This window comes from Homo sapiens, chromosome 3 (genome assembly GCF_000001405.40).
Source record: "Homo sapiens chromosome 3, GRCh38.p14 Primary Assembly".
Taxonomy (NCBI): Eukaryota; Metazoa; Chordata; class Mammalia; order Primates; family Hominidae; genus Homo; species Homo sapiens.
Window position 1 is genome coordinate 189,917,321 of NC_000003.12, and position 19,018 is coordinate 189,936,338.

Below are 19,018 nucleotides of genomic sequence, written 5' to 3' on the forward strand. Positions count from 1 at the left end.
AGAACAAATATAGTAGGTTTGAACTAAATAATTAACAAATATTGATTCAAAGTTTAAAAAAATAGAGTGTGTTCAACAGAAAAATATACTACATGGTATTTTTATAAAAATAATGGCCGGGCATGGTGGCTCACACCTCTAATCTCAGAACTTTGGGAGGTCAAGGCGGGTGGATCACTTGAGGTCAGGAGTTTGAGACCAGCCTGGCCAACAGAGCAAAACCCCACCTCTACTAAAAATACAAAAATTAGCCAGGCATGGTGGCCGGTGCCTGTAGTCCCAGCTACTTGGGAGCAATTCAAGCATGAGAATTGCTTGAACCTGGGAGACTGCATGAGCTGAGATTACGCCATGGCACTCCAGCCTGGGCAAAAGAGCAAGACTCTGTCTCAAATAAATAAATAAATAAATAAAATAAAATAAAATAAAATTTGAATGTTTGGATGTTAACTATAAACTCCTAAAATAATTGATGAACCAATGAATAAATTGCAGTGTAAATTGCAAAATATTTTGGATGACTTCTAAAGAAAAATATGGAGGTCAAGCTCATGCTTGTAATCCCAGCACTTTGGGAGGTACAGGTAGGAGGATCACTTGAGCCCAGGAGTTTGAGACCAGTCTGGGCAACATAAAGAGTCCCTGTCTCTCCAAAAAAGTTTTAAGAAATAAGCCAGACATGGTGGTGTGCAGCTGCATTCCCAGCTACACAAGAGGCTGAGGCAGGAGGATCACTTGAGTCCAGGAGTTCAAGGCTGTGATTGTGCCACTGCACTCCTGCCTAGCTGACAGAGCAAGACCCTGTCTCACACACACACACACACACACACACACACACACACGCATACTGAAGCTTTACATACACAGCTAAATTTGACAAAAAACAAACGAACAAACAAATACTGATTTGCAATCATCTACCAGAAAAGAAAGGCTGTATTTCATGATTTAATGTTTTATCTTAAAACATTATGAAAATAACATCAAAGTAAACATAAAGAACTCAGAAGAAAAGAAATAAGAGTAGAAATGAATGAATTAAAACCAAAAGTACAACAGAGAATATTAAAAAGGCAAGAATTGGTTTCTGAAAAATAATTAGTGAAGTGGATAAGACTTTTTTAAAAGATTGATCAAGAAAAGAAAAAAGTACAAATTACCATATTAGGAAGTAAAAGCGGGCATTATATGTATTACAAAATATAAATTACAGAATATTTTTGTAAATTACAAAATGTATTATTTAAAATATTATAACTTTCATATATTCTTTCATATACATATGAAAGATAAGAGAATACTAAGAATAATTTTTGATCAATATATTTGTAAATCAGAGGAAATGAAGAAAGTCATTGTGAAACACAATTGACCAAAACAAACACAAGGAAAAAGCGAAAAATCTAACAAATCCAACATATGATTTTTGAAAATGAATTTGTAATTTTAAAACATTTTACAAATAAATTTCCCAGCACAGATGACTTTACAGAAAACCTTTCCAATCATATATAAAAGAAAGAACACCACAAAATCATAAATAAAGGTAAAATAAAGCATTTTGTTTTTCTTATTCTTAATCTAAAATGTAACTTTAAATTATTAATAGTTACAATGTATTGGATAATTATAGTACATAGATAAGTAAAAGGGATGACAACTTTGTCATAAGAAATGGGATGGAGGAATTGGAAATTCTCTATTGCAAGATATCTGTACTACATCTGAAATGGCACAGTATTATTTGAAAATGGGCTTTGATTAATTTGAATTGAATAATGCAAATACTACAGTAATCACTAAATAATTTAGAATAAGTAATAAATTAAATTTAAAACTTTAAAATGCATATAATACATGGGCTAAGAGTGGAGATAAATGCAATTATGCAAAATGAATAATTAACCAAAGAAGAATTTTTTATAAGTAGAGAAAAAAACAGCAAATGCAACAAATAGAAAGCAGTTTAAAACACGTTAAATTTGAATCCAACTGTGTAAACAACCACTGTAAATGTGAATGCTCTAAATACACTAAATAAGACAATATCAGAGTGAATAAAAACAAGTAAGATACAACTACATGTTGTCTACCAAGAACCCACTTTAAAATGTAAAGTCTCAGGTTAAATGTAAAGATATACCATGCTAATTCTAACCATGAGAAAGCTAGAGTAGTTATGCTAATTTTAAACAAAGCACACTTCAGAACAAGGACAATTTTGAAAGATAAAGAGGAGTAATACATAATGATAAAAGGGTTAACTTTCTAAAAGGAGACACCAACCCTTAATGTGCATGTACCCAACAACACAGCATAAAAATATGCAAAGCAAATCTGATAGAACTGCAAAGAAAAATTGACAAGTCCACGACTATAGTGGGAGACTTCACCACTCGTTTAATAATTGATAGATCCAACAGGTAGAAATCTGATAAGGATATAGATGACCTTAAAAACATCATCAATCACAGTGACCTAATTGACATTTGCAGAAAACTCTATTTAATATGATGAAATATACTTTTTCTCAAGCCCCCATGGAATATTCGCCAAGAAGAACCACATTTTAAATCATAAAACACACCTTAACAAATTTAAAGGAACAGAAGTTATACAAAGTATGCTCTCAATACACACAATAAACAAGAAATCAGTAATATAAAGTTGGGTGAAAAATATCAAAGTATCTGGTGATTAAATAGCATACATCTAAATAACACATGATCAAAAAAGAAGCCTCAAGATAAATTTAAACATGTTTTAACTAAATGAAAGTAAAACATCAATATTTGTGAGTGGCAACAAAAGCAATGATTACAGGAAAATTTACAATTACATGCTTATGTTAGAAAAAAAGGGAAATATCTTAAATCAATGACTTAATCTTCTACCTTAGGAAACTAGAGAAAAAAAGAGTCATGTAAGCCTAAAGCAAGCAGAAGAAAAAAAAACATAAAAAATAGAGCAGAAATTGATGAAATTAAAAACAAAAATAAAATAGAAAAAGGTAAACTAATATCTATTTCTTTGGAAAGATCAATAAAATTAATATGTAAGAAAGTAAGAAAAAGAGAAGACTTAAATTGCCAATATCAGAAATGAAAAAGAGGTTATTATTTTTTATTTTATGAAAATTAAAAGGATAATCATGGAATACTATGACAACTCTTTGCCTACAAATTTGATAACTTAGATAAAATTGACCAATTCCATGAAGACAGAATCTACTAAAACTCATATAAAGAGAAACAGATAATCTGAATAGGCCTACATCTATCAAATAAGTTGAATTAATAATTGATAACCTACAATAAAAGAAATAATAGGTCCAAATGGTTTCATGACGGATTCTACCAAATGTTGAAGGATGAATTATACTTATTCTCCACAATCTTTCGAGAAAATAGAAGCAAAACAAACACCTCAGCTCATTCTATGAGGACAATGTGACTCTAGTAACAAAACTAGATAAATAAATTACAAGGAAAAAAGAAACAGTTGGTTCAGCATTTAAAAACCAACATAATTCACCACATCAAAAGGCTAAAAAAGAAAAATCATATGACTAAATGCATAAAGTATTTGATAAAATCTAACACCCTTTCATGATTAAAAATGAGCAAAAGCCAACCAAACAAAAACTCAGCAAACTAGGTATAGGAGGAATATCCTCAACTTGATAAAAATCTATACTCATGGCCGGGCATGGTGGCTCACGCCTGTAATCCCAGCACTTTGGGAGGCTGAGGCGGGTGAGTCACGAGGTCAGGAGATCGAGACCATCCTGGCTAACATGGTGAAACCCCATCGGTACTAAAAATACAAAAAAAATTAGCCGGGCGCTAATTTTTGGAGCACCTGTGGAGGTGGGCGCCTGTAGTCCCAGCTACTCGGAAGGCTCAGGTAGGAGAATGGCATGATCCCGGGAGGCAGAGCTTGCAGTGAGCAGAGATCGTGCCAGTGCACCCCAACCTGGGTGACAGAGTGAGACTCTGTCTCAAAAAAAAAAAAAAAAAACTACTCATATTTAATGGTAAGAAACTGGATACTTTCCCCTAGGATCAGAAACAAGGTAAAGATACCCTCTCTTACCATTTCTATTCAACCTGGTACTGTAAGTTCTATCTATCTAGTGTGATAAGACAAGAAAACAAAATAAAATGTATATACATGAGGAAGAAAGAACACTGTTTTTGCAGACAAAGCGATTGTCTATGTAGAAAGTCCCTCCTGGAACTAAGAAGCAAGTATAGAAAGGTGACAAGTTACAAGTTACTATACAAAAGCCCATTACTTTTCTATATACTAGCAATGAACAGTTGGAATTTAAAATTATAAAAACAATACCATTTGCAGTAATACTATAAAACAAAATATACATGTATAAATCTAACAAAATATGTGTACAATCTAATTGTGGAAAACAACAAAGCTGTGATGAAATAAATCAAATGCCTAAATAAATGGAGGTGTTCCATGTTCATGGATTGGAAGACCCAATATTATTAAGATGTCAATTCTTTTCAACTTGATCTATAGATTCAATGCAATTGCAATCAAATCTCAGTAAGCTCTTTAGCAAACTGATTCTCAAGTTTATATTTAAAGGCTAAAGACCTAGCACAGTTAACACAATACTCAAGAACACAGCTGGAGGGATAAGAACAATGGAACAGATTAGAGAGGTCACAGATAAGCCCATTGCAAATACAATCAACTGAGAAAGGTGCAAAGTCAATTCAATAGTGAAAGCACAGATTTTCAACAAATTGTGCTGAATCCTCACATGCAAAAAAAGGGTAAACTAGACAGACCTTATACCATTCACAAAAATTAAATCAAAATGCACCTTAGTTTAAAATATGAATTGCTACACTACAAAACTTCTGAAAGAAAAACAGGAGAAAATTTATGTGATGAGTTTTTAGATATAACATCAAATGCACAACCTGTGAAATAAAATAAATTATTTGAACTCTATTAAAATTACAAACTTCTCTGCTGAAAACAATGTTAAGAAAATAAAAATACAAGCCATAGACTTGGATAAAATATTTGCAAGACGTATATCTGATAGAAGGCCTGCATCCAAAATGTAGAGTAATCTCTTAAAAATCCACAATAAGAAAACAACCCAATAAAAATGGGTAGAAGATCTGAAAAGACATCTCATCAAAAAAGATATACTGATGGTAAATAAACATATAAAATGCCCAGTAACATTTGCCATTAGGAAGTTAAAATTAAAACAATATGGAGGTACTACTACACATCTATTAGAATGGGTAAAACAAAACAAATAAGAAAAAAAATCACTAACAATACCAATTGCTAGTGCAAATGCAGAGGAACAAGAATTTTTATTTGCTGCTAGTGGTAATGAAAAATGATATGACCACTTTGGAAGACAGCATGTGAGGTTCTTACAAAGCTGAACTTAGTCTTATGATCTAGCAGTCACACTTTTAGGTACATACCTAATTGATTTGAAGAGTTATAACGAAACAAAAATCTACACACAGGTGTTTAGAACAGCTTTATGTACATTTGCCAATCCTAGAAAGAACCAAATTCTTCAATAGGTGAAGAGATACACAAATTGTGATACATTCATGCAATGGAACATTATTCAATGATAAAAGTAAAATAACAAGTCATAAAAATACACAGAAGAGCCTTAGTGTTGACTACTATGTGAAAGAAGCCAGTCTGAAAAGACTACAAACCTGTATGATTTTCATTATGAGGATATTCTGGAAAAGGTAAAACTGTAGATAAAGTTAAAAAGTAAGTGATATCCAGGACTCAGTGAGAGAGGGAGATGGTTAAATAGGTAAAATTCCCGTGATTTTTAGGGTATTAAAACTATCCTGTATGATGCTATAATGGTATGTACTATAATGACATTATGCATTTATCAAAACCCATTGAACTTCACAATACATAGTGTGAACCTTAATGCATGCTCATTTTAAAAAATCATCTCTGAAACTGGAGGATTTTAGGAAGAAGTGTGGACTGTGGCAAGAGAATCTTACTGTATTACAGATGTATGAAAAACTTCAATGAAAGGTTTGGAGGGAAAAGATACTGGCTAAGTAAACTTTGGAAATTACTTGAGTGTGTAAAACGGAAAGTAAAATAAGCTACTTACAAGCGCTATACTCTAGTTAGTAAAGCTGTTTCTAGCAGGTGCTAATACTGATGGTGCTATACTGTATACTGAAATTGAACAATTAAGTAAATGGATAGTGGATGGTGGACACAAGTTTCTCAGTTTAGGTGTGGGTTAACAGATAAGCAAAAAAAGTATGCCGCGGGTATTCACATGGTAATGGATTATATTTGGAGACATAAGTATGAACTCTTGTTTGCTTAAATTGTAGATATAGATTATTACAATTAAAACATTTATAAATATGTGTATATACACCAATTAGTATCTTTCCTTGGTTTGGTTAGCTGATGACATGGACAAAATTCTTGAATGACACTATGATCAAAATGTACACAAAAGAGGCCGGGCACGGTGGCTCACGCCTGTAATCCCAGCACTTTGAGAGGCCGAGGCGGGTGGATCATGAGGTCAGGAGATCGAGACCATCCTGGCTAACACGGTGAAACCCCATCTCTACTAAAAATACAAAAATTAGCTGGGCGTGGTGGTGGGCGCCTATAATCCCAGCTACTCGGGAGGCTGAGGCAGGAGAATGGCGTGAACCCGGAAGGCAGAGCTTGCAGTGAGCTGAGATCGCGCCACTGCACTCCAGCCTGGGCAACAGAGCAAAACTCTGTCTCAAAAAAATAAAAAATAAAAATAAAAATAAAAAGTACACAAAAGAAATAGAAAACAAGAATAGCCCTATGTCTATTAGGAAAAATGAACTTGTAATTTACAACCTTCATCCACATAAAACTCTAGTCCCAGATGGCTTCATGAGTGAATTCCATCAAATATAAGTTTAAAAATATAAAGCAAATTCTACATAAACTTTTACATAAAATAGGAGAGACTTGCCAAGTCATTTTATGAAAACAACGTCACATTGTTATAAAAACCAGACTAAAACATTAGAAAAAAATACTCTGAAAGACCATTTTTTTCAGGAATATATTATCTTGTTAATATATTAGCAACTTGAACCTAGCAGTATACAAAATGATAATACACTTTATCATATAGAGTTTAATCTCATGAGTGCAAAATTGGGTGAACATTAGATATTCAATCAATGGAATTTATAATAAAACAATAGATGTGGCCAGGCGCGGTGGCTCACACCTGTAATCCCAGCACTTTGGGAGGCCGAGGCGGGTGGATCACGAGGTCAGGAGATAGACACCATCCTGGCTAACACGGTGAAACCCCATCTCTACTAAAAAATACAAAAAAATTAGCCGGGCGTGGTGGCGGGTGACTGCAGTCCCAGCTACTCGGGAGGCTGAGGCAGGAGAATGGCGGGAACCCAGGAGGCAGAGTTTGCAGTGAGCAGAGATCGCGCCACTGCACTCCAGCCTGGGAGACAAAGCGAGGCTCCGTCTCAAAAAAAAAAAAAAAAAAAAAAAAAAAAAAAAAAAAAAAAAAAAAAACCAATAAATGTGAGAAGATTATCATTTAAATGGATGGAGAGATAGCATTTGACAAAATTAAATTCATTCATGATCAAAAAAACCTCTCATCAAATTAGGAATAGGAGGTAATTTTTTCAACTTGATGAAGTGCACCCCATAAAAGTAGAAGCTAATGTTACACATAATAGTAAAAGAAAATCTGACAAAATTGTCCTGATGATAAAAGAAGGTTTGAAGGAAACTATTTCTTTGATTCCTGCCTATTAATAGACAATTAATCTCTATTGCAGGCAAAGTCAAATAAGCACTTTATTCATTTTCATGGGAATGTAAATTGGTATAATCTTTCAGGAAATAAGCTGGGCAACATGTGCAAGGAACTTTAAAACGATCATATCCTTTGACCTGGAGTTTTTACCTTTTAGAATCTACTAGAGGATCTTATCAAAGATATAGGTAAATATTTATATATAAGAAAGTTCACTGGATAATTTGTTTTTATTTGTAGAACCACGTATTGAACTTTAAAACTCAGATAAGATTACTTAACTTTCCTTTTAGAGAACACAATTTGCCTTCAAAATTATTTAGGAACTAAATTGTTCCCTCCTTCTCCCACAAAGAGAAAGGAAAGGCATACAACTATCCTGTTACCTCTCCTTAAGCCAGCAAAGAAAGGATAACCCTGTTGGTGACAGGACTAGTCTAAGGAACCTCTCAGCTAATAGGCAATGAACAGAAAAATAAATAAATAAATAAATAAATAAAAGCTATGTTCCTCAAAGTGTTTGAAGGCAGACGACATCCTGTGAAACTGCCCCGTCTTGGAAAAGTTTGACCAAAGTTTTTATCTATCCAATTCAGTAGAGCATTGATTTGACAAGTGCTAACCAGAAGCTGCGCTCTAGGTTCTAGAAGTTGGACTTCCCCTATTAAAATTAGGATGCTTTTTTATCCATATGCTTTTGGCATCATTCCACCCATCTTCCTTAGATTCTAAGAAGTTCTCTCTATTTTGTGACTTACCTTTTTAAATAATGTTTTTATTCCCATCACCTTAGGTTGTTTACAGAGATGTATAGCCCTTTAATTAAAAACAAGACTATAATTTTATAATCCAGAGCTATACACACACACATATGTATATATACACATCTGTATGCCAGTAAGTAATCTGTATCTGTACACATAATTTTTTTTCACACACACACAATTTTTACAGCATTGCTTAATGTGAGATTATTGGCTCAAAGGACCAAAAAGGGATCCTCTGATCAGTGAGGTTTTTTGGCTGAGACCTCATACTACAATAGCAGCGACAACAGTGTCAACCATCAAAATAGCCATTAGGAAGAGATGGGTTAAAAAATTGTGTTATTAATATATAATGGAATATTTTTCATTCAACTGTTATGTTTTCGAGCAAAGAGCATGAGAACATTTCACATTTTATACAATAGGTGCTCAACATTTCTTGAATTAATTTAATTTTATGTGTTTTACAATACTGGCATAATAATGTATGCAAGTTAAATGTTTTTCCCCATTTATCAGTATCATCATGTCTATAAACCCTCTTTGAAAATGCATTTTACACACTACACAATATTTTACTACACGATATTTTACTACACAATGTTTTATTATATGTTAGTAAACAAATTAAGAATAACTATGATACCACACATCATACTGGCCCCAGGATAAAATATAGATAGTTTTTTCCAGGGTTAATTCATTGTACCCTGTTGATAAATATTTGTTAATTTTCTCTTAAGATTTACACATCTGTCTTTACCCTCCCCCGCCACCGAAAGTATAGCCCCACATGGAAGCAATTCTCTAATTATCTAAGGCTATTAAAGAAGATTCCACTGTAACTACCATGAAATAATTATACTTGTATAAAATTAATTAGTTTATAAGTATGCCCTTTCATACTGAGTATACCATTTGCAACTTAAAATAGCTCTATTATATTGGCATGAGAAGGCATAATCTCATTTAGCAATGAAAATACTGAAATCAGAGAAGTTAAGTGAATTACCCAAAGTCACCTGAATAATTAGCAGTGAAATCATGGCTTAATTTTCTGACACTAAATTCAATCAGTGTCCTTTCACTACATCTTTGGTCTCCTGCGATGTTTTTCCGTAATAAATAGAAAACATCAATCATGATTTTGCATAAGAAGCACATGGCATTTCTTGACTGTACATAACCAATAACCATGTACCAATATAAAAACTTATTTTTGTTTCACTGTAGTTCTGTTTGTTTGTTTGCTTGTTTGTTTGTTTTTACCAGGTTTATTTAGCTGAACCTCAGGTATATTGAAATTCTAGGAGAAATATTTCTATTGCCTCAGCAACCAGATTTTAAGGAGTGTTCTAGGTTCTCATTTTGCAACAGAATTGATAGAGCTTAACAGATGGCTAAATCTTAATTCTAAATTTCAGTGCAAAGAGTCACCGGAATCTAGGTCGACACTGGGACAATAGGCAACACTGTCTGAGAGCTTCACGGTGGTATGGTCCTAGAGCTTTCAGTAGGCATAAGAATCACTTTGGGGAGTTTTAAAATGCAGACTCCAAAGATCTATTTCTGATTAAGCATAACAAATTTGGGGGGTTTGGAATTAGAATCTGCATTTTAACAAGATCTCCATGTAATTTTAATGCAGGCACTTATTAGAAACATTTCTGTGAAGCCCTGCAGACTTGTTTTGTCATGTGGGATGTTTGGCAAACAGTGAAAAGGCTTCAGAATCCAAATATCCCTTCACAAAGATTATCTGCCATATAATAATGTCCTTTTAAGCATAAGCACTTCTGTCTCTTGTCCTTCATTCACCCCAAAGATGACATTGGCTATTAAATGAAAGAAAGTGTCAAATTAGAGTCAGGACATTTGATTGCTGTTTCACCTTAGTATCTCCAACCTAACATAGAGAACAATCTCTGCCTAGACTGGTGCATACAGTGGTTATGGAAATGAAATGAGAAATGAGAAAGCTTCAAAAACCAAATTTCAAAATAAAAGAGTATTTCTCAGATTAATTGTTCTCAAACTGTTTTTTATATTAGATCTTGGGGAGCTTTCAAAAATTCTGATGCCCAGGCATTAGTATATATATTTTTAAACTTTCCAAGAGATTTCAGTGTACAACCAAGTTTAAGAACCAGTATATTAGACCAATCCTTACATTTTGCCTTAGTGCATTCACTTTTGCCTTAGTGCATTCAATCTCTTAAAAAATGAATAAGCACTGATAAACTCTTGCTGTAGAATTGATTCATTGGATTCTTTAGAATCAGCTCCACTCTCACCATAAATCAGCAGTGTTTTATGTTGGGCATGAGCAGAGCTGCCAAACAGGCCATTTTCTTTCTGTCCTTCAACATTGTTTCCTCTAGGTAACTCACTGGCCTTGGATTAAGGAAATTGGCAACTAAATCGAGTCTCAGGAAAAGCTGCCATGCTGTATCTTGCTGCAGGGGAAAAGATCAGCCCTTCATTTCTGGGAATTCTTAGTCATAAGCCACATGTCATCAGCCATACCAACCATTTAGTTCCATTTCCCTTCAGGTGAGACTGAGTCACTTCTCCAGAATGAGGACAGCAATGCAAGATGGTAGAGAGAAGAGATTTGTTACCAACGTGGGAATAAGGATAACTTATCTCACATGATTTATTCAACATACATGCCTCTGGGTACCATTAGTTCAGAAAAATCATTAAATTATTCAGGTACCAGTCTAGATAAGGTCCTTTACCTCATATAACATTCATTTCAGGTTTCTGATACAGATCAGCACCTAATCCCCAAACTTATTTTGAAATTAAGAAACAGTACCACGTGATGGAGAGAGTCTGTTGCACCAAAATGACATGGTAGGAGACTTTATTTGTCCACCTCGGCCTTCTGATAGCTGCAAAAGTATTCAGACCTTCAACATTGCTCCAGGCCCCTTCGTATTTACCTGCACTAGAGCATCGGTCTCACCAATTCACACCCCTAACTATTCCGGCAGAATATATGTCAGTTTACAAAATCTCTAACCCCACGCTACTACTACCACCACCATTAATTCTAGCTGCAACATTACAAGAGGACAGCTTGCATTTCCATACCCTCTTAAAGTTTATTTCCATACTAGTAATGTAAAGAGACTGTATTTACATGTGGCTTTGATCCGGCTGTATGAGTGTGAGTCATTAACATATTGTTTCTGAATCTCATTTCCCTCATCTGTAAAATGGAGCTAGTAATTCTGATTTAATAAGGTGTTGGGAGTTTGTAATGTCATGTTAAAATTAAGAAAGCACTCTCTAAACCAGAAAACTGTTACAAATTAGATTGTATTATCACTCTTCAGAAACCCAGGATGCCCAAGACACTTCCCCCTTCATTTGAAATATTATCCTGTCATTCTGTCTTATGAAGATGTCCCAGTGTTTCAGGATCTGCAACAGGATGCCTACTGTGTTAGGAACTCTATGGCCCCCTTTTGTGCAAGGTGATGTTAGTGTGACACAGTAGCAAGTGCATTGGATAATGTCAGAAAATCTGTGTTTTATTCTCATGACTGTTCTTAGTAATTTAAGTTCCATGAATTTCATTTTTCTCACCTGTGAAAATGAGAATTAGATCTATCTCAAAGATTTATTTTAGGACTTACATTTAATATTTGTGACAGTGCTCATAAATCATTAAAAATATATATAAAATTATCAGATTATGATGAAGGGTAATTAAATGTTATGATGCTAGTTAACTATTCTTAGTCAAGTCTCTGGTATAATAATTTCATCTATCTAGCTATGTGAGATTACTGTAATGTTGAAGTTTTAGGATCCAGCTATGGGGTGGTTTAGGGTCAAAATCAATGGCCTTTGAGTCATTCCAAGCCCACCTTTACATAGATTCATGCATATACACGCATCTTTTACTGAATCAAGAGTCTGGGTTTCTCGTTCCTCCCATTTCCAAAACCCACTCCTCATCATCCATCTTCCTTGTTAATCTTGTCTTCTCTGATGATAAATCTTTTTGCTCCCTAAGATAATTTTTAGCACAAACTTTTTGTCTTTGACCCCCTTTACTTCTCCTTTCACAATATTAAAGAAGCTCATACAGTTTTATAGTTTTGACTAACATGCATTTATTAAGAGTGTAATATCAGCCAGCTCTTGTGCTTTATGCAGGTGACTTCTGAATTTATAATTTTAGTGTTTAAAGTTCTCTTCATTTCTAGTCCCACAATTTCAACTCCCTGCCAGACTTCTGCTAGAATTTCCATCAGCACTGATAATAATAATAAATAACATTATAAAATAACCCATATGGTGCCTAAACCCAAAACCTCTCCTACCTTTTTCACCTCGCGTTCTTGTTACTACTCCTACAACTTTTCAGGCTATAAATGCATCTTTAATCGAGTGACTGCCAAATACCGACAATGTTTCTTTCATGATATTTCTCAGACATATTTCCCTGACAACCACTGATCTATTTACTGTCTCCATAGTTTTACCTTTTCCAGAAAGTTGTAAAGCTATAATCATACAGGTTGTAGCCTTTCAGACTGGCTTCTTTCACTTGGCAAAATGCATTTAAGGCATTTCCGTGTCTTGATGGATCCTTTGTTTTTAATGCTGAATAATATTTCATTTTATAGAAGTAGCACAGTTTATTTATCCACTCACCTATTGAAAGGCATCTTGGTTGCTTCCAAGTTTGGCAGTTATGAATAAAGCTGCTATCAACATTCATGGGCAGGTTTTTGTGTGGACATGAGTTTTCAATTGGTTTGGATAAATACTAACCAGCATGATTGCTGGATCATACGGTAAGAGTCATCCCTCAGTATCATAGAGGATTGGTTTCAGTACCCCCTGCAGAAATCAAAATCCATGGATGCTCAAGTTCCTTATATAAAATGGCACAGTATTTGCATATAACCTATGCACATCCTCCTATATACTTTAAATCATCTCCAGATTACTTATAATACCTATTATAGTGTAAATGCTATGTAAGTAGTTGTTATACCGTAATGTTTTTATTTGTATTTTTTTATTGTTGTATTGTTATTTTTATTGTAGTGGTTTTACCTTTTCAAATATTTCCAGTCTGTGTTTGGTTGAATATGCTGATGCAAAACCCTTGGATATTGAGGGCTGACTGTATTTAATTTTTTAATATTAATTTAATTAATATTTGTAAGAAACTACCAAACTATCAACCAGAGTGGCTGTACTATTGACATCCCCATCAATAATGAATGAGAGTTCTTGTTGCTCCACATTCTTACCAGCACTTAATGTTGTTAGTGTTTGGGATTTAAACCATTTTAACAGGTATGTAGTGGTATCTCATTTTAATTTCCTAATGGCATATGATATTTAGCATCTTTTCATATTATTACCTGCCACTTATATACCTAGTTTGGTGAGATGACTGTTCATATATTATGACAATTTTATATTTGAGTTGTTTGTTTTCTTATTGTTGAGTTTGAAGATATCTTTCTATATGTTGTATACCAGTCCTTTGGAGATAAATCTTATGCAAATATTTTCTCTAAGTCTATGGATTATAGTTTCATTCTCTGGACATGTTTTTCACAGAGCAGCTTTAAATTTTCATGAAGTCCAACTTATCAATCTTTTCTTTTATAGCTTATGTTTCTGGTGCTGTACAAAAAAGATTATCACCAAACCGAATGTAAACTGGATTTTCTACATTGTTTCCCAGGAGTTTTCCAGTTTTGCATTTTAGATTTGGCTTTATGATCCATTCTGAGCGAATTTTTGTGAAAAGTATAAGGTCTGTGTCTAGATTCATTTTGTTTTGTATGTGGGAGTCCAGTTGTTTCAGTGTCGCTTATTGAAAAGACTATTTTTACACATCCTATTGCCTTTGCGCTTTTGTCAAATGTGAGTTGGCTATATTTGTGCAGATTTATTTCTGCGTTCTTTATTGTGTTCCGTTGACTTACTTATTTTTCTTTTTTCTTTTTTTTTCCCAATACTCACCGTCTTGAATACTGTAACATTATATTAAGCCTTATAGTTAGGTAGTGCCAGTCCTTCAACTTTGTTCTTCTCTTTCAATATTGTGTTGAATTTGCTGAAAGATTCTTTTATCATGAATGGGTATTTGATTTTATCAAAGGCTTTTTCTGCATTTATTGATAGGATAATATGATCTTTCCCTTCTTTAGTTTTTTTTTTTATTATACTTTAAGTTCTGGGATACATGTGCAGAATATGCAGGTTTGTTACATAGGTATACACATGCCATGGTGGTTTGCTTCACCCATCAACCCGTCATCTACATTAGGTATTTCTCCTAATGCTATCCTTCCCCTGGCCCCCCTCACTCCCCAACAAGTCCCAGTGTGTGATGTTCCCCTCCCTGTGTCCATGCATTCTCATTGTTCAACTCCCACTTATGAGTGAGAACATGCAGTGTTTGGTTTTCTGTTCCTGTGTTAGTTTGCTGAGAATGAGAGTTTCCAGCTTCATCCATGTCCCTGTAAAAGACATGAACTCATTCTTTTTAACAGCTGCATGGTATTCCATGGTGTATATGTGCCACATTTTCTTAATCCAGTCTATCATCGATGGGCATTTGGGTTGGTTCCAAGTCTTTGCTATTGTGAATAGTGCTGCCATAAACATATGTGCGCATCTGCCTTTATAGTAGAATAATTTATAAACCCTTGGGTATATACCCAGTAATGGGATCGTTGGGTCAAATGGTATTTCTGGTTGTAGATCCTTGAGGAATTGCCACACCGTCTTCCACAATGGTTGAACTAATTTACACTCCCACCAACAGTGTAAAAGCATTCCTATGTCTCCACATCCTCTCCAGCATCTGTTGTTTCCTGACTTTTTAATGATCGCCATTCTAACTGGCGTGAGATGGTATCTCACTGTGGTTTTGATTTGCATTTCTCTAATGACGAGTGATGAGCTTTTTTTCAAATGTTTGTTGGCCGCACAAATGTCTTCTTTTGAGAAATGTCTGTGCATATCCTTTGCCCACTTTTTGATGGGTTTTTTTTTTTTCTTGTAAATTTGTTTAAGTTCCTTGTAGATTCTGGATATTAGCCCTTTGTCAGATAGATACATTGCAAAAATTTTCTCCCGTTCTGTAGGTTGCCTGTTCCCTCTGATGATAGTTTCTTTTGTTGTGCAGAAGCTCTTTAGTTTAATTACATCCCATTTGTCAATTTCGGCTTCTTTGCTGTTGCTTTTGGTGTTTTAGTCATAAACTCTTTGCCTATGCCTATGTTCCGAATTTTTTTTTTTTTTTGACAAGGTCTCATTCTGTCACCCAGGCTAGAGTCCAGGTGTGATCACAGTTCACTGCGGCCTAGAACTCCTGGGCTTAAGAAACACCCCCATCTCGGCCTCCCAAATAACTGGGACTACAGGGACATGCCACAGTATCCAGCTACTTTTTTTTTTAACTTTTTTTGTAGAGACAGGGTCTTCCTATGTTGCCCAGGCTTTTAGCCTGTTGATGTGGTGGATTAAATTAATTAATTTAGTGAATGCTGAAATAGCCGTGCATCCCTAAAATAAATCCCACTTGGTCATGATGTATAATTCTTTTTGTAGGTTGTTGCATTTCATTTGCTAATAGTATCTTGAGGATTTTTGCATCTATGTTCATGAGTGTCAACTACCTTGTAATTTATGGATTTTAAAATGTAGCTCTAACAGTATCATAAAATTGCTTCATATAACTTGCAGTTTATTGTGGATTTATTCATTTTAACATGAAGAACTCAGGATGTTATATTTAATTTGTATTATCCCAGAATGTTGCAAGCTGTGTGGCATATAGGAAAACATTAAATAAATGTTCATTCACTCAACTGATCAACTGAAAAAGTAACCATGTGATAAGTAAGTGCATATTTAGATCCCACTCTGTGTATGAAACTGGGCTAATTAATGGCAACACACGGGTGAATCAAACTAAACTCTGTCTTTATGGATATCACCAGACACTACTTGAGACATGGTTAAATTAGAATTGTTATAATTATGAGATCTACTCTAAAGTTGGAACCACAGTCAATGTAAAAATTGGCCAAACAACAAGATCCTCCGTTTGAAAGCTAATTCTCTATACTGCAAGGCAAATTTTCAGTAGATATTCAAGGTATTCAAATAGCACAAATTATAGTTGGAAATATATCTATTATGCAAACAAAGGGGTTATAAATAAAGTTTGTGAGGCTGGTGGATATGGCATTTTTATTTTTTCTTGACTTCTTTAATCAATTTAATTCTTTCTTCCCTGATCACTCCCCTTCACCACTAACACTTATTGAACCCCATAGTAAGCAATGAAATGGATACTCAGAGTATGAGTAAAGCACTGGTAGAAAATGTTGGCAGTAACAAAGGCAGGACAAATGTGTATTACTGATTTTTCTATTCAAGTGCAATGCAGAACCTTGTCATAGGAATCTGAAGAATAGAGGCAGAAAGAAAGTAATTCTTTACAAAATAAAAGGATATTGGGTGAGGTTTGTTATCTATAAAGATATGTCTTCATTCATTATGTCATTTATTTAACAAATGTTTACCAACTTCTTAGCATGTGCCAGGCAGGCCTTGTGGTAAGTACATTCGAGATGAATAAACCATGTTCTCTATGCCTTTGAGAAACACACAGTCAATTAGGAAAGATAAGATATGCACATAAGTAACTCTAACACAATATCTAGCATAGTATAGGTGATCAATAGGTATTTAATGAAATTTAATTTAATTGATTCAATAATTATTTATAGAGCATGTAGTACCTTCCAAACCCTATTCTGGGTGCTTGGGATACACCATTGAACAAAACAGACAGACAAAATCCTTGCTCTCAAGTTGCTTTTGTACTCACAAGGGAAAAATTTAATGGTATTGACAGAGATAAGTTGCTAGAACTCAAATGAGAAATGCAGATAAAATGTTACTAGCATTATATTGAAAGGTGGAATGGTTACAGTGGATGGGGGAGAGCCAAGGAATGTCATCCATACATTACAGCCCCATTTTGTTTTGTTTTCTGTTCTTCTTTGGAGATTCAGAAGAAATGCAATCCACGCAGAAAGGGACAGATGAGTCAGTCTCCAGTGAGCAGCTGGGTGTGCATGTGTCCTGGATCCTTAGGCACTTCATTGAATCTATATGCATTGGACATGTGGCTGGGACTACTAAGACATAAAGTTGGAGAGTTAGATGAACGCCTACAAACTTTAAGTCGGATGGCTCTATAGCATGCAGAGGGAACCTAACGAAGATTTTTAAAGAGAAGGATGATGTTATTCAAGTGATGTTGCCAGAAGGATGGATGTAGTAGTGTATCCAGAATTGGTTCCTTCCGGTGGGTTCTTGGTCTCACTGACCTCAAGAGTGAAGCTGTGGACCCTCGCGGTGAGTGATACAGGTCTTAAAGATGGTGTGTCCGGAGTTTGTTCCTTCAGATGTTCAGATGTGTCCAGAGTTTCTCCGTTCTGGTGGGTTCATGGTCTTGCTGACATCAGGAGTGAAGCCACAGACCTTCACAGTGAGTGTTACAGCTCTTAAAGGTGGTCCAGCCGGAGTTGTTCATTGCTCCCAGTGGGTTCATGGTCTTGCTGACTTCACGAGTGACACCGCAGACCTTCACATTGAATGTTACAGCTCATAAAGGTAGTGCAGACCCAAAGAGAAACCAGCAGCAAGATTTACTGTGAAGAGCGAAAGAACACAGCTTCCACAGCGCAGAATGGGACCCCAGTGGGTTGCCACTGCTGGCTCTGGTGGCCAGCTTTTATTCCCTTATTTGGCCCCACCCACATCCTGCTGATTGGTCCATTTTACAGAGTGCTGATTGGTCCATTTTGACAGAGTGCTGATTGGTGCATTTACAAACCTTTAGCTAGACACAGAGCGCTGATTGGTGCATTTACAATCCTTTAGGTAGACAGAAATGTTCTCCAAGTCCCCTACCCAATTAGCTAGACACAGAGCCCTGATTGGTACATTTACAAACCTTTAGCTAGACAGAAAAGTTCTCCAAGTCCCCACCCCACCCAGAAGCCCAGCTGGCTTCATGTCTCAGTAGTGTCATTGAGAATAAAAGAAAGGAATTGCAGGCAAAGGCATATTTATGTTAATTTAAAATAGTAAAATAGTGTGCATGTGGATCGTTTCTAGTCTCAGGACAGAAGCTGAAGTTTGTGCCCATGGACTATGCATCAAAATCTGTGCTCCTGAAGAAAGGCACCAAAATACTAGAGAAGAATGTTCTGCAAAGGCATTGCTGGTCTTTCTATGTCTACCTTGATATTTATAAGTCTCCTGAGGAGATTCTACTTTCTCTGTGGAATGATATTACATAATCATTTAGGAGTTTGACTTCAAGGCCCGCACAATC

The 19,018-nt window shown here is 35.1% G+C and overlaps 1 annotated feature.

Annotated features, from left to right (window-relative positions):
- Positions 17,442-18,641: an enhancer, noted in NCBI's record as "P300/CBP strongly-dependent group 1 enhancer chr3:189652551-189653750 (GRCh37/hg19 assembly coordinates)". NCBI's record gives its function as "activates an origin of replication core promoter dependent on BRD2, BRD4, P300/CBP, MED14 and CDK7 cofactors, with strong dependence on P300/CBP, by STARR-seq in HCT116 cells {active_cell/tissue: HCT116}" and the evidence as "EXISTENCE:reporter gene assay evidence [ECO:0000049][PMID:35650434]".